The following is a 16,983-nucleotide window of genomic DNA, read 5'->3' as shown; positions in this document are numbered from 1 at the left end:
CCTCTACACAAATAAACTAGAAAATCTAGAAAAATAAATAAATTCCTGGACACATACACCCTCCCAAGACTAAATCAGGAAAAGTCTAATCCCTGAATAGACCAATAACAAGTTCTGAAATTGAGGCAGTAATTAATAGCCTACCAACCAAAAAAAGCCCAGGACCAGGGAAATTCACAGCTGAATTCTACCAGAGGTACAAAAAGGAGCTGGTACCATTCCTTCTGAAACTATTCCAAACAATCCAAAAGGAGGGACTCCTCCTTAACTCATTTTATGAAGCCAGTGTAATCCTAATACCAAAACTGGAAAGAGACACAATAAAAAAACAAAACTTCAGGCTAATATCCCTGATGAATATTGATGTGAAATCTTCAATAAAATACTGGCAAACCGAATCCAGCAGCACATCAAAAAACTTACCCACCATGATCAAGTCAGCTTCATCCCTGGGATGCAAAGCTGGTTCAACATACCTAAATCAATAAATGTGTTCATCACATTGACAGAACCAATGACAGAAAACACGTGATAATCTCAATAGATGCAGAGAAGGCCTTTGATAAAATTCAACATCACTTCATGTTAAAAACTCTCAATAAACTAGGTATTGATGGAACATATCTCAAAATAATCAGAGCTATTTGTGACAAACCCACAACAGATATAATATTGAATGGGCAAAAGCTGGAAGCATTCCCTTTGAATACCGGTATGAGACAAGGATGCCCTCTCTCACCACTCCTATTCAACATAGTATTGGAAATTCTGGCCAGGGCAATCAGGCAAGAGAAAGAAATAAAGCGTATTCAGATAGGAAGAGAGGCAGTCAAATTGTCTCTTTTTGCAGATGACATATTTCTATATTTAGAAAACCCAATCATCCCAGCCAAAAAATTCCTTAAACTCATAAGCAACTTCAGCAAAGTCTCAACATACAAAATCCATTTGCAAAAATCACAGGCATTCCTTTACACCAACAATAGACAAGCAGAGAGCCAAATCATGAATGAACTCCCATTCACAATGGCTACAAAGAGAATAAAATACCTAGAAATACAGCTAACAGGGATGTGAAGGACCTCATCAAGGAGAACTACAAACCACTGCTCAAGGAAATAAGAGAGGACACAAACAAATGGAAAAATATTCCATCCTCATGGATAAGAAGAATCAATATCATGAAAATGGCCACAATGCCCAAATTAATTTATAGATTCAATGCTATTCCCATCCAACTATCATTGACATTCTTCACAAAATTAGGAAAAACTACTTCAAATTTCATGTGAAATCAAAGGAGACCCTCTATAGCCAAGACAATCCTAAGGAAAAAGAATGAAGTTGGAGGCATCAGGCTGCCTGACTTCAAACTATACTACAAGGCTACAGTAACCAAAACAGCATGGTACTGGTATCAAAACAGGCAATGGAACAGAACAGAGACTTCAGAAATAATACTACACATCTATAACTGTCTGATCTTCGACAAACCTGACAAAAACAAGCATGGGAAAAGGATTCCCTATTTAATAAATGATGCTGGGAAAACTGGTGAGCCATTTGCAGAAAAGTGAAACTGGACTACTTCCTTACACCTTAAACAAAAATTAACTCAATATAGATTAAACACTTAAATGTAAAACCCAAAATCATAAAAACCCTAGAAGAAAACCTAGGCAATATCATTCAGGACATAGGGATAAGCCAAGAATTCATGTCAAAAATGCAAAAAGCAATTGCAACAAAAGCCAAGATTGATAAATGAGATCTAATTAAACTAAAGAGCTTCTGCACAGCAAAATAAACTATCATCAGAGTGAACAGGCCACCTACAGAATTGGAGAAAACTTTTGCAACCTACCCATCTGACAAAGGTCTAATATCTAGAATTTACAAGGAACTTAAACAAATTTACAAGAAAAAAAACAAACAACCCCATCAAAAAGTGTGCAGAGGATATGAACAGGCACTTCTCAAGAGAAGACTTTTATGTGGCCAAAAACATGTGAAAAAAAATACTCAAGATCACTGATCATTACAGAAATGCAAATCTAACCACAATGAGATACCATCTCATGCTAGTTAGAATGGTGATTATTAAAAAGTTAAGAAACAATAGATGGTGGAGAGACTGTGGAGAAATAGGAATACTTTTACACTGTTGGTGAGAATGTAAATTAGTTCAACCATTTTGGAACACAATGTGGCAATTCCTCAAGGATCTAGCATCAGAAATACCATTTGATCCAGACATTTTTTTTTATTATTATTATACTTTAAGTTTTAGGGTACATGTGCACAATGTGCAGGTTAGTTACATATGTATACATGTGCCATGCTGCTGTGCTGCACCCATTAACTTGTCATTTAGCATTAGATATATCTCCTAATGCTATCCCTCCCCCCTCCCCCCACCCCACAACAGTCCCCAGAGTGTGATGTTCCCCTTCCTGTGTCCATGTGTTCTCATTGTTCAATTCCCATCTGTGAGTGAGAACATGTGGTGTTTAGTTTTTTGTCCTTGCGATAGTTTACTGAGAATGATGATTTCCAATTTCATCCATGTCCCTACAAAGGACATGAACTCATCATTTTTTATGGCTGCATAATATTCCATGGTGTATATGTGCCACATTTTCTTAATCCAGTCTATGATTGTTGCACATTTGGCTTGGTTCCAAGTCTTTGCTATTGTGAATAGTGCCGCAATAAACATACGTGTGCATGTGTCTTTATAGCAGCATGATTTATAGTCCTTTGGGTATATACCTAGGAATGGGATTGCTGGGTCAAATGGCATTTCTAGTTCTAGATCTCTGAGGAATCACCACACTAACTTCCACAATGGTTGAACTAGTTTACAGTCCCATCACCAGTGTAAAAGTGTTCCTATTTCTCCACATCCTCTCCAGCACCTGTTGTTTCCTGACTTTTTAATGATCGCCATTCTAACTGGTGTGAGATGGTATCTTACTGTGGTTTTGATTTGCATTTCTCTGATGGCCAGTGATGATGAGCATTTTTTTATGTGTCTTTTGGCTGCATAAATATCTTCTTTTGAGAAGTGTCTGTTCATGTCCTTCGCCCACTTTTTGATGGGGTTGTTTGTTTTTTTCTTGTAAATTTGTTTGAGTTCATTGTAGATTCTGGATATTAGCCCTTTGTCAGATGAGTAGGTTGCAAAAATTTTCTCCCATTTTGTAGGTTGCCTGTTCACTCAGATGGTAGTTTCTTTTGCTGTGCAGAAGCTCTTTAGTTTAATTAGATCCCATTTGTCAATTTTGGCTTTTGTTGCCATTGCTTTTGGTTTTTTAGACATGAAGTCCTTGCCCATGTCTATGTCCTGAATGGTAATGCCTAGGTTTTCTTCTAGGGTTTTTATGGTTTTAGGTCTAACATTTAAGTCTTTAATCCATCTGGAATTAATTTTTGTATAAGGTGTAAGGAAGGGATCCAGTTTCAGCTTTCTACATATGGCTAGCCAGTTTTCCCAGCACCATTTATTAAATAGGGAATCCTTTCCCCATTGCTTGTTTTTCTCAGGTTTGTCAAAGATCAGATAGTTCTAGATATGTGGCGTCATTTCTGAGGGCTCTGTTCTGTTCCATTGATCTATATCTCTGTTTTGGTACCAGTACCATGCTGTTTTGGTTACTGTAGCCTTGTAGTATAGTTTGAAGTCAGGTAGCGTGATGCCTCCAGCTTTGTTCTTTTGGCTTAGGATTGACTTGGTGATGCGGGCTCTTTTTTGGTTCCATATGAACTTTAAAGTAGTTTTTTCCAATTCTTTGAAGAAAGTCATTGGTAGCTTGATTGGGATGGCATTGAATCTATAAATTACCTTGGGCAGTATGGCCATTTTCATGATATTGATTCTTCCTACCCATGAGCATGGAATGTTCTTCCATTTGTTTGTATCCTCTTTCATTTCCTTGAGAAGTGGTTTGTAGTTCTCCTTGAAGAGGTCCTTCACATCCCTTGTAAGTTGGATTCCTAGGTATTTTATTCTCTTTGAAGCAATTGTGAATGGGAGTTCCCTCAAGATTTGGCTCTCTGTTTGTCTATTATTGGTGTATAAGAATGCTTGTGATTTTTGTATATTGATTTTGTATCCTGAGACTTTGCTGAAGTTGCTTATCAGCTTCAGGAGATTTTGGGCTGAGACAATGGGGTTTTCTAGATATACAATCATGTCATCTGCAAACAGGGACAATTTGACTTCTTCTTTTCCTAATTGAATACCCTTTATTTCCTTCTCCTGCTTAATCGCCCTGGCCAGAACTTCCAACACTATGTTGAATAGGAGTGGTGAGAGAGGGCATCCCTGTCTTGTGCCAGTTTTCAAAGGGAATGCTTCCAGTTTTTGCCCATTCAGTATGATATTGGCTGTGGGTTTGTCATAGACAGCTCTTATTATTTTGAGATACATCCCATCAATACCTAATTTATTGAGAGTTTTTAGCATGAAACGTTGTTGAATTTTGTCAAAGGCCTTTTCTGCATCTATTGAGATAATCATGTGGTTTTTGTCTTTGGTTCTGTTTCTATGCTGGATTACATTTATTGATTTGCCTATATTGAACCAGCCTTGCATCCCAGGGATGAAGCCCACTTGATCATGGTGGATAAGCTTTTTGATGTGCTGCTGGATTTGGTTTGCCAGTATTTTATTGAGGATTTTTGCATCAATGTTCATCAAGGATATTAGTCTAAAATTCTCTTTTTTGGTTGTGTCTCTGCCAGGCTTTTGTATCAGGATGATGCTGGCCTCATAAAATGAGTTAGGGAGGATTCCCTCTTTTTCTATTGATTGGAATAGTTTCAGAAGGAATGGTACCAGTTCCTCCTTGTATCTCTGGTAGAATTCGGCTGTGAGTCCATCTGGTCCTGGACTCTTTTTCGTTGGTAAGCTATTGATTATTGCCACAATTTCAGATCCTGTTATTGGTCTATTCAGAGATTCAACTTCTTCCTGGTTTAGTCTTGGGATGGTGTATGTGTCGAGGAATTTATCCATTTCTTCTAGATTTTCTAGTTTATTTGCATAGAGTTGTTTGTAGTATTCTCTGATGGTAGTTTGTATTTCTGTGGGATCAGTGGTGATATCCCCTTTATCATTTTTTATTGCGTCTATTTGATTCTTCTCTCTTTTTTCTTTATTAGTCTAGCTAGTGGTCTATCAATTTTGTTGATCCTTTGAAAAAACCATCTCCTGGATTCACTAATTCTTTGAAGGGTTTTTTTTTTAAATCTCTATTTCCTTCAGTTCTGCTCTGATTTTAGTTATTTCTTGCCTTCTGCTAGCTTTTGAATGTGTTTGCTCTCGCTTTTCTAGTTCTTTTAATTGTGATGTTAGGGTGTCAATTTTGGATCTTTCCTGCTTTCTCTTGTGGGCATTTATTGCTATAAATTTTCCTCTACACTCTGCTTTGAATGTGTCCCAGAGATTCTTTTAAATCTTATTACTGGGTATATGCCCAAAGGATTATAAATCATTCAGCTATAAAGACACATGCACACGTATGTTTACTGCAGCACTATTTACAATTGCAAAGTCGTGGAACCAACCCAAATGCCCACCAATGACAGACTGAATAAAGAAAATGTGGTACATATACACCATGGAATACTACATAGCCATAAAAAGAAATGAGATCATGTCCTTTGCAGGGACATGGATGAACTGGAAGTCATCATCCTCAGCAAACTATCACTGACATGTTCTCACTCACAAATGGAAGTTGAACTATGAGAACACATGGACACAGGGTGGGAAACAACACACATCAGGGCCTGTTGAGGGTTTAAGGGTCAGGGGAGGTACCTTAGAGGACAGGTCGATAGGTGCAGGAAATCACCATGGTACACGTATACCTAGGTAAGAAACCTGCACATTTTGCACATGTATCCCAGAACTTAAAGCAAAATAATAATAATAATAATAATAATAATAATAATAATAATAATGTGCGAAAGATGAAGAACATAGGTATCTCTAGACAAGATCTAGCTAAAAGAATCAGAAACCTCTCCTTGGAAAAAAAAACAAAACAAGAAAAGAGTATGAAACAATGATGTCTTTGAACTTTTAAGAGCAAATATAGGTCAATGAAACAAATTTTGAAACATGAGAATTAATTAATTAATACTTGGCACTTGAAAGATGTCTTGGTAAAAGGGAAATAAGTACTTTATATAACAGATGGGGAATTTATGGGAGTCACTTTCACAAAAGGATATGTGATAAAATATTAATAAACCAAGAAAATGTTATTAGATAACAAAAATAAAAAATAAAATTATGTTTTTAATCAATGACGATTATTATATTTTTAAGACAGGAAGCTGGATTTGAAGTTGCTGGGATTAGCTTTGTGGATGGCAGTGACTTCCTTCTGATGTGTTCTCTCTGGCATGTTCATAGACAGAACGAGGAATGGCTGAACCTTAGTTCTCACCCAGAGCAGCAACACTAAAACCTAAGTGCACGGCCTGTAACGTTTTTTAAAAATCACCAGGGAATTAAAGTTCTATTATCAGAGGAAAAACTAAAAACATATTTTCAGAAGCTTGTAGCTTAGGAAGAGACTAAACTTTTATACTAATTTAATTATAAAGTGTTACAGTAAAAAAATAACCATATTAATTTTAAATTACTTAATAAAATGTAAAGCAATCAACCTTTTTAAGAAAAATTACTTTAAAAATGAAAATGGATATAATTATAGTCAGAAAATGCAGAGACACCTCTTTTTACTAAGATGGTACTATGGTTTGAATATGTCTCCAAAATTGTATGTGTTGCAAACTTAATAACCAAATTTATATGTTGATAAGAGGTAGGGACTTGGGGAGCCAATTAGAATTAGATAAGGTCATCAGGATGGGGCCCCGTGATGGGTTTATTAGCTTTATAAAGAGAAGAAAAAGACCTGAGTTACTATGCTTGCTATCTCTCCTTGTGATGCTTCCCTCTGTGTTATGACACAACTGGTAGACCTTCACGACATGCTAGCATCATGCTCTTGGACTTCACAGTCTCCAGACCCATGAGCTAATAGTTAAACCTCTGTTCCTTATTAACTACTCAGACTGTGGTATTCAGTTATAGCAACAGAAAACAGATAAAGACAAATGGCCTCCCTAAAATGTAACTTTTTAAAAAAGTGGTTACTTTGGCGTTCTTACAATAGTTTCTACTAATACCTGCCATTGATATAAAATTCTATCGTAAAATGATTCTTCACATAAATTACAGTCTGCTGGAAATATTTTGGTCTCTCCCAAACCTTTAGCATTTGCCTAATAATGATATCGATATACTCTTATATCATGTATTATCTTCCGTTATACCTTAATTTATGTGTATATTATATATTTCTATATTTTGTATATTGATTTATTTTGCTTTTATTTTAAACCATATTATAAGAAACATACTCTAATTTGGAGCATCTCTTTTCTATTAAAATGCAAGCAGTTGCGATAAAAGAAATAATAATATTAGATTTAGCTTTTCAATCACATTTAAGTAAATATGGGGTATGGGAAAATATATATTTGATATCAAAATATAAGGGTTATAAATAAATTGACACATTATTTATTGAAGATGTAATTATTCCATTATTTTAATTTTAAAAAGTTATTTTTTCTATTTATGCCTTTGTTTATTCTACTTATTTTTGTTAGTATTTCTTCTTAGCTATTCTTAATTTGAGCACAGTTTTAGCACTGTCTTAGAATGTTGTACAAGCCTGGTAGCCTTTAGGGATTTCTATAATAATTTACTGTGTTGTCTCTATATGAGGCAGGTTCACTTTTTCTTGTTTGCTTGTTTTGCATTTCTATTTATATAGAAACTCCTGACATGGAATAATTTTTAATACAATCAGATTTAAAGAACATTTGCAAGTGAATTACAAATACTTATTTTCTGAACTGTTTGTTAACTACCAATGTGATACTTCATTACCTCCCACCCTCATACTTCAGTGTGTGTGTACCTTCTACAAACAAGAACATTAGGGCATTCACCTACATAAACACAATGCAATCATCAAAGCAAGGACTCTGATGTGGTCTAGTCCTTGGGCTTCATTCATGACTCACCAGTTCAGAATCCTCTGCTGCATGTGGTTGTTCTGTGATGCTACTTGCCTTCAGTGAGAAAAATGCCTTGATCTTTTCCTAACTTTAATGACTTTGACACTATTGAAGAAAATAGGACATTCATTTTATATGAAATGTGTCTCACTTGGGTTTGTTGGAGATTTTCTCAGGACTAGAATAGGTTAAATCACATTAGATTTGGTTAGATTACATTGGTTTTCTCCTTTACATTACATTAGATAGATGTTTCCTCCTAGTTAGATTTCATTTGTACCCAGCTTTAGTGGGAATGTCATGAACCTGCTATTTTGCTAATTATTATAGTCTGTCTCCCTATCAGACATGCATAATTTTTGATGTGTTGCTTTAATGAAGTGTTCACTTTGATCAATTTGTTAAGGCAATGCTGTCACTTTTGTGCTCTGTAAAGTTCTCCTTTATTCTTTTATAATTACAGTAAGTTATTTCTGAGGAGGTACTTTGAAACTAAGTAAGTTCTTTGTCCCTTGTCACATTTTTCACTTCTTTATTTTTATGAAGATAGACTTAATGGTTTCCTATTTTATTTGCTGAGTTATAATCCATTGCTAACATTTATTTTATCCCAGAATTGCTCAATTTGTCCCGAATTTGCCCAATAGATGCTCTTGAAAGTTGCTTTTATGTCTTTTCATCTATCTCCATCATTCTCTGAACACCTCCTTATTTCCTAGCACAGTAATATGACTTAGCCTCATCTTTGACTTTCTACGCCACAACCCAGCCATCAAACATTTCTCTACAGAGTTCTGGCTTTTTGCAGTGGAGAATAATATTGAGAAATGGAGAGCTTTGCTGAGTGTGCTCCTTGCTATTGAGAACTCTCTGACCCCAGATATTTTGGGGACAGAGTAAGGTACAGCTGCATACATATACATGCATGCACACACACACACACACACAAACACACACTACAAACTGAGGCTGCATACCAATATTTCTAATTGTAATCCAATACAACAGAATTTATTCTTGGCTTCTTTCTTTCTGTATTTATGACTTTCATCTCTAACAGTGAGAAATAAGGCTCCTATTTCACCTTCCGCATAACATATCTACTTAGTTGATCAATCCCTCTTTCTCCTTCCCCATCTCCCACCTGCATTCACTCTGAATACCCTCCTCATTCAACCCTGCCAAGCATGTTTTCTCCTTTTTTCTAAAAATGATTTTAGATGAATATCAGTGTGACTGTATTGCTCACTATGTATATTTTATCAAAAATGTAAACTTATTTGTAATACCAGGCTGAAAAACAGTATCATGAAAAATACTGTTTAAAAAAATAATCTCTGTCATCCAAAGACTTGTTCTTGCTAAATCTATTGCTAGCTCTGAAACAGGCAGTTGTTGAATATCTACAAACAAAATGATCCTCTAGTTTTTAAGGGTTTCCTGGCCAAATGATAGGGAGTACATTTTTATACAAATGATACACTGCTCATCTATTATGAATGAAGACAGACATTCCTTTCACTACTCCTCTATGTTCCCCATGTATGCTCTGTTAGCATAACAACTACTACACTTGGGCTTCAAGTCATGCAGTTACGTCCGATCTTCCTCTCACTAGGAAGAACCTGATCATTGCAACTGTACTCCTGAATTCAGCTGTAGGATGAGATCTAAGTTCCATTGGTAGCTGTCCCTGGGCTAAAGGCCTTGGGTATCCTCTGGGAGGCAGGTGATCATGGTGCCCAGAGAGATGAGGGCAAGATGCAGGGGGTCTACTTCTTTTTCCCATAGACACTGGTTTACAAAATCCTTTTTATTCAAAGAGGTGATCAAAGAATACACAGCCCCCCAAAAATATAGGAGAAAAAGTACTCAATAAGTGTCTTAGTGAATTAATTACAAATATAGGGTATTTTTCATAGATTTTCAATGTTTGTGGCATTTGCCAACTTTATTCTGCATCATGAGCTTTTTCTCATTCTTGATATATATTCACTTTCATGCCTAATTTTATATTCCTAGTTTTGCATTTTCTTAATTATTAAAGTCCCAAAGTTGAATAAATGACAGTTTCCCTAACAGCTCAACACACCCCTGTTGGCAGGCACCAGAGGTCTGTAATGCTAAAATGTACTCCGTGCTATAACTTAGTATCATCTCAGCTAATTGCCATGAGTTTCTAAAAAAATAGCCAAACTCTAGTTTTTGCTTTTGTTTTTCTCTTTTCTCTAACTTCCATGTTGCTTTACATTCTCTCCAATTGTTGATCCTAAATTTTGAGACGTGTAACATGGACATTTCTACTAGGTATGTCAGTAGGCAGAAATATAAACTGTTGAATACTTAGAGTTCGGGGACAAGATCTGGGCAGAACATATGCATTTGGAGTCATCAGGATAGAATTGCTGTTTATGTAAGTGTGGTTGAGATCTGTTACCCAATGGGAGGCTTAGTATTAGATAAGAGCAAGGATAGTTATCTGTCAGGATAGGGCTGCCAGGAGGCATTTGCAATGCTGAGAGAGTTTGCATGTAGGAAGTAGGATCATCTCCTAAAAGTGAGAATGGGAAGTGTATATTAATTTCAAAAAAGAATGAAAAAGGTTTAATATAAGTTCCAGTAGATTAGACAAGAGAATAGGCTAAGAAAATATGACATAACAATAGGAAGAATTAGAGGCTTTCTTGAGATTTTAGTCTGTAATTGAAAATGCAGGTTGTCTTTTTTCCAGCCATGCACCACTACAGTGCCGTGTTAGGGAGTTACAGCTCAGGCTAGAATCAGAGCAAAACGAGTCAAACCAGAGCGGTGCAAGAAGGCTGGTCTATGCAGGTGAGTAGCTACTGTGAGGGCACTATCTATTCAGGCCCGACTCCTCTGCCTCTCTCCTCCTAGCCCGCTGTCCATGCCCTGGTTGACCAGAAGATGTCCCAGGAGCACTCCCCTCTGGCCCCTTCATCTCCATCTCACGTTGCATTCGAAGAGGATTTTTAAATGGGCAACCTCAGTCCCTCCCTATGCTTGACATGCTTTAGTGGCTGTCCTTTGTTCCTCAGATAAAGTTCATGTGCTTTATTAAGGCCTTTTCCTATGATCTGTTCCATCCAAACACCAACACCAACCTCATACCCAAGATGACTACAGCTGTAACAAACTTGTTTGCCTTGTTGAAGGGACACATACTTCTTTGTAGCTCTGGGCAAGTTTATACATTATTCCTTGGACCAGGTTGCTCCTCCCCTCCTACTGGCTGGACTCCAACCCCTGCCATGACACATCTTCCTCTGTGGAGCCCTTTCACAGTCACTTAGGTTTCAGTTCATTAAAAGCCTCCTCCAAAATGCCCTTCCTAAACTCCTTCATCAGCTGGAATTTTTGTGAGTTCAACTCTCTTATACTGTTGTATTTATCCTTAATACCTAGTGGAGTGCTTGGCACATAGAAGGTACTCGAAGTAACTGATATGAATTAACAGACAAAAATGCATTCACAAATCAGTTAACCAATTCCTAATCTTCACAGCACCCTCTGCATCCATAGCTGCATTTCACAGATGAAGAACTGAAGTTCATAGTGCCCAATACACTCATAAAGGGTAATGTTTTAGTAACAGAAGTGGCATTTGTTGCCAAATTCCTTTTTCTGAAACCTTTGCTCTCTCATCAGTACCAGGCTGGCTCTCTGGTTCCCATCTTTTTTCCCAAATTATCAATATTTACGCTGAGAGACAGAGACAGTGTAGTATCATGTGCAAGAGCACAGAATTTTGACACATTGCAAGATTCATATCTTTAGCTCTGATATTTACTAGCTGTGTGACCTTAGGCTATTTACTTAAACTGCTTTTTGCCTCAGTTTCCAAATCTCTAAAATGGGAATAACAATAACTGACAGATAGTGGTGCTGTAAATACAAACTGAATTCATATACTAAGCACTTAGGACAACACCTGGCACATACATATAAACTATATGTACCAGATAAACCTTATTGCTTCATTTTTGTTATTACTGGTGTAGCTTCATTATGAACACATCAGAAGGGACAGGATTTTCCTGATTAATGGTCACAGGCAAGTTCTTCTGTGATCCAGACATTCAAATCTGACTTTTAATTAGCCTCACCTGAGGGATCCATTTTCTGGAGGCAGAAGTCTACAACTTGCACAGCTTGCATCAGAAGTGATACCTCATGGCAGGAGAGGGCTGGGCTGTAGAAGACTCCCCCTCTGATTTAGGCTGTAGAAGATGCCCCTTCTTATTTGCTCACCTGCCCCACCTATCTGACTGGCTTCCTTATCAACCAGTGATCCTGACACAGGAGAAGGCCAGAAGGTAATCTGCATGCAGGAAAATAATCCATTAGCATCGAATCTAGAAGCCACTCCTCTGTTCTCATGCTACATGAAATTTTCCTTTGGGAAAAGGAATGCTTGAAGGATGGCTTTATATGTCTAATGTCAAGCCACAAAGCATAAAGCACCAGCATTGTACTTACTAAGGGGAGGGGGACTTCCTTGATTACATACAACAATTGAAGGTAGATTTACATTGTATTTGATGTATGAGAATACTTATCGCCAGGCCTCACTAACCTATGTAAACATTTTCCCAAGTAGAACATCACACACCAGGGCCTGTTGGGAGGTTGGGGGCAAGGGGAGAGACATCATTAGGACAAATACCTAATACATGCAGGGCCTAAAACCTAGATGATGGGTGGATAGGTGCAGCAAACCACCATGGTACATGTATACCTACGTAACAAAACTGTACGTTCTGCACATGTATCCCAGAACTTGAAGTATTAAAAAAATTCAAGTAAACTAAGGCTTATAGAAAATTGTATATAGAAAGTTAAAATGAGAAGTAGTCTTTGATTTTAATTTGGTCAGAATGTAAATATACAGGCACTCTCATAGACACTTCTGATGGCCGCATAAGTTAAGATGACTTGTAGGAGGCAATTTGTACACATGGATTTAATATCTTGAATACATTAAAATATTTTTCCACATGGGGTTTCCAAAGCTCAGAATTTAGACTAAAGGAAATAAGAATTTGCATAAAAGTCTGAGCAAATATCAGTCCTTCCTACATATTATTATTTTGTCTCATTTATTTACTTACTATTTTTGTCTTCTTTATTGATTTACTTAACATCATATCACCTAATAAAATGCAAGCTCAATGAAAGCAGTGGCTTTTTCTGCATTTTTCTCAGCCACATAACAAGTGCTGAGGTTACCTGGTATATAGCAAACATTTAATTTTCTATTAAACCATTCAAATAATGATTGTTGTGATATGCCTGATAGCAATAACAAGTGGGGGAAAAAACTAAATGTAAAATTTTAAAGTGGACTCAATGAATACAAGCAAATGATGGGATAGATGAAATCTATCAAAAAGTTATCAGTGTTTTTAAGGAACATTAACTGTCATAGAAAAAAATCTCAAGACATATTTTTACACAAAATAGCAGATCATGAATTGCATAATCTTTGTCAAAAATTGTAACAAAGAGATAGAACATATTGTTTGTATATCTTGATAGAGCTAAACATAATGTTTATTATTTCCTTTAAAATTATCCTTTTTAACTACTATAGTAAACTGCATTATGTTCTAATGTTTAAATAGCTTTTTTTAAAAGAGAGGATTTAAAAGATCATGCAGCTACTTGGAGAGTGGTTAGAAAATAATTTAAGTCTAAGTAAGAATATATAAATATGTGTTGCGTTATTACTATGATAAAAGTTGTATTAGTGTACAGATAGAGAATAGACAAAGTTGATTTGTTGAGGCAGTTTTCTTTCCTTCCTTCCTTCTCCCTCCCTCCCTCCCTTCCTTCTCCTTCCTTCTTTCCTTTCTCCCCTCTGTGCACTCCCTGCCCTTCCTCCCTTTCTTTTTTCTCTTTCTTTCTTTCTTCTTTCTTTCTTTCTTTTCTTTCTTTCTCTTTTTCTTCCTTCCTTCCTTCCTTCTTTCTCTCTCTCTCTTTCTTTCTTTCTTTCTCTTTCTTTCTTTCTTCTTTCCTTCTTACTGTCTCTCTTTCTTTCTCTTTCTTTCTTCTTTCCTTCTTTCTCTCTCTCTCTCCTTCCCTCCTTCTTTCCTTCCTTCTTTCCTTTTCTTTTCTTCTTTTCTTTTCCTTCTTTTCTTTTCTTTCTTTCTTTTCTTCCCCTAATTACATGAGTAGCTTTCCTAAAAATACACAGTTCGCCCTGGCGCGGTGGCTCATGCCTGTAATCCTAACACTTTGGGAGGCGGAGGTAGGCAGATTGCCTGAGCTCAGGAGTTCAAGACCAGCTTGGGCAACATGGGGAAACCCTGTCTCTACTAAAATGCAAAAAGTTAGCTGGGCATGGTGGCATGTGCCTGTAGTCCCAGCTACTCAGGAGGCTGAGGCAGGAGAGTTGCTTGAACCTGGGAGGTGGAGGTTGCAGTGAGCCGAGATCACACCACTGCACTCCAGCCTAAGCAACAGAGCAAGACTCCATCTCCAAAAAAAAGAAAGCTATCTCATTAGCCATTTTGGCAATTATTTCAGAAAACTGGAGTCGTGTATGATCTCCTTTTCCTCAGATACTAGCCTCTGTTTAAGAAATTGTCAGACCCTTCTTTACTAACAATACACTCAAGTATTTCAGGTTGTCCTTCCACCATTACGCCTACAGAAGAACTCAAAGCATGCACAGTGATGAGCAATCAATGAACTATACTTTTGGCTGGATTTTGCACTTCAGAGAACTTCAGCTTTAATCCAAAGTTCTCTATAAGGAACAGAAACTATAAACAATTTTGAGGTAATTATAATTTTTGTCTCTCTGCCTTCAGACACTTTTGATGCATTTTATTATATTTTAAATGTTTCAGCATTTTTCTACTCTGCTAAGTCTTTAACGGGAAGAGAAATAGCTAACATAAAGCAAAGGGAAATTAGCTCCCCTTGGATACAGAAACAAGGTCAACCTTATGCAGGAATTTAATTATCAATCTGTGGTGAGTCCAAGCCTACAAACCCTAAAGTAGAAAGTGAATATATATTAGTCTTCATGTTTTATAGGTTATTCCAATTTTAATTCTTTAAAAAACGCTATAGAAACCATGTGACATTTTATAGAATTTGTGATGGCTTGATATTGTAATAATCCTGCATATGGCATGAAATTCAACTGATATATGACAATCGAATGTTCTTTTACATATGCAAAAAGATGGTCAAGCCATGAGATTAAGAACAAAACAGCAAAACTTTTCTTTGCATTTTTCCTGATATTTTCTATATTTTCTAATTCCAGGTCTCACCCAAATCTTTCTCTTTTGCATTTTATTCAGAAAAAAAGAATTAAAAAAAAAAACATGGTAACAACCAACGTTTAAATTCAGACTACTTTCAACTGAATTTTCTTCTTCCCCAGTGAACTCCTGAGGAGCTTCTCCCTGTTCCCTCACCCACGGTGGGACTGCAGAGTCTGCTTGCAAGTTATTTAAGCAGATAGCTGAGTGCCAGTGCACTTCTGTGCATTCTATATTTTCTCTTTTTTGTCCAGTTTATTTTCTTTCTCTTTCATTTGTCTTTATCGTGTCTCTTCTTTCATTCCATGAATGATTTGTTTTCATGAGCTGCTTATGAGCCCAGAGGCACTATTTGCTGAGGAAAAGCCATTCAAATACTGACTACATATTGATCATACCTTGAGGATCTTGCACATAATCTCATAAACTGAGAATGTTTTCTCTGCTCTCGTCCAGTCCCAGGTGGTCACCTTTAAAAGATAAGAAAATAATGTTTAATTTGTTTTAGAAAGTTATTTACCACTGTATTTGATTTGCATAATATAGTGAAAAATAAGAAAAAACTTTCACAGATGTATCTAGTCTCTCATCTGTGAAGCCATGCTCATAAAGGACCCTACATAATGCTTTTGTTTCCTCTTTTCCAAGCTTTGTTACCATTTGTCTTATGCTTTCAGCAAATGATTTATATTATGTGCAACAGTTCTCATTTGCCCAGTGTCCTTATATATCTTAAATAATATACGCATTCTCTACCTATAAATACTAAGTATTTACATTCCACACTCATATTTTTTTTTTAATTTACCACTAGTTAAATACAGAGAATACCAGACCTCAACACAGCTATATTTTTTAAATATACATCATTTATATTAAGAAATTCCAAGATGACTGTGACATTGCAAACATACCCAAAGCATAATGCAGTTATTTCACTTACTTAGGTTGGAAACTATATTTAACTGTCTTGTCAAATAAATTATTCAGAGTAGGAATAGAGTAAAATATATAAATATCAATTTTTCCTCTGTCTTCCTAGTGCTTTAAACTTTGTGTAGAGACAGACATTTAAAACAGCAGCAAGTTAGACCTGATGATTTCTAAATCTTATGTATTATTAGACCTGCAAGTGACTGGTCTGGCATTTGGTATTTATATTCAATAAATATTTATTAAGTGTCTTCTGAGCTGCAAGGTACATGTTTCCAAAAGCAAGACTTGAGGTGCAATAGGTATCTATACATATCTAGTACAAATCTCAATAACTAGGATATAGAATATAATAGAAGATGAAAATGTTATTGATTTTATATAGAGAGACCTGTACAACATAAATAAGCAAGTTCGACTTGTCATAAATGATAGCTTACCAGAATGTATTTGTGTTGTTTGCCAAGGATAGAATCCTCTAATTTAAATGTTGAACACCATGAGAGTTAACATCATCCTATGGGATTACCATAGGGTGAGATAGACTTAATAGTAGCTAGATAAGATGCTATCATTTTGAAATTTCCTTATTATTCTTTGCTAATAATAAATTACTAGTAATTAAAAGTGCTGAATAAATTTAAAA

The 16,983-nt window shown here is 36.2% G+C and overlaps 1 protein-coding gene across 18 annotated transcripts in view, besides 1 other annotated feature; it reads right to left on the bottom strand.

Moving 5' to 3' along the window:
* Nucleotides 1–16,983, bottom strand: part of SNTG1 (syntrophin gamma 1) — an 886,897-nt gene that overhangs the window by 122,227 nt on the left and 747,687 nt on the right. For all 18 annotated transcript variants that reach the window (NR_135796.2, NR_135795.2, NR_135797.2 and 15 more), the window contains one exon: nucleotides 15,803–15,874. Coding sequence is in view for 13 of the 18 variants with exons in the window: in NM_001287813.3 (NP_001274742.1) it covers nucleotides 15,803–15,874 (72 nt within the window). In the remaining 5 variants the exon portion in view is untranslated. The remainder of the gene's footprint in view (nucleotides 1–15,802; nucleotides 15,875–16,983) is intronic.
* Nucleotides 11,183–11,477: a silencer, noted in NCBI's record as "tiled region #14710; K562 Repressive non-DNase unmatched - State 24:Quies". NCBI's record gives its function as "represses a minimal TATA promoter and a strong SV40 promoter by Sharpr-MPRA in K562 cells {active_cell/tissue: K562}" and the evidence as "EXISTENCE:reporter gene assay evidence [ECO:0000049][PMID:27701403]".

This window comes from Homo sapiens, chromosome 8 (genome assembly GCF_000001405.40).
Source record: "Homo sapiens chromosome 8, GRCh38.p14 Primary Assembly".
In the NCBI taxonomy this organism is placed as follows: Eukaryota; Metazoa; Chordata; class Mammalia; order Primates; family Hominidae; genus Homo; species Homo sapiens.
The sequence above is the reverse complement of the archived record's forward strand: the minus strand, read 5'-3'. Positions and strand labels throughout refer to the sequence as shown.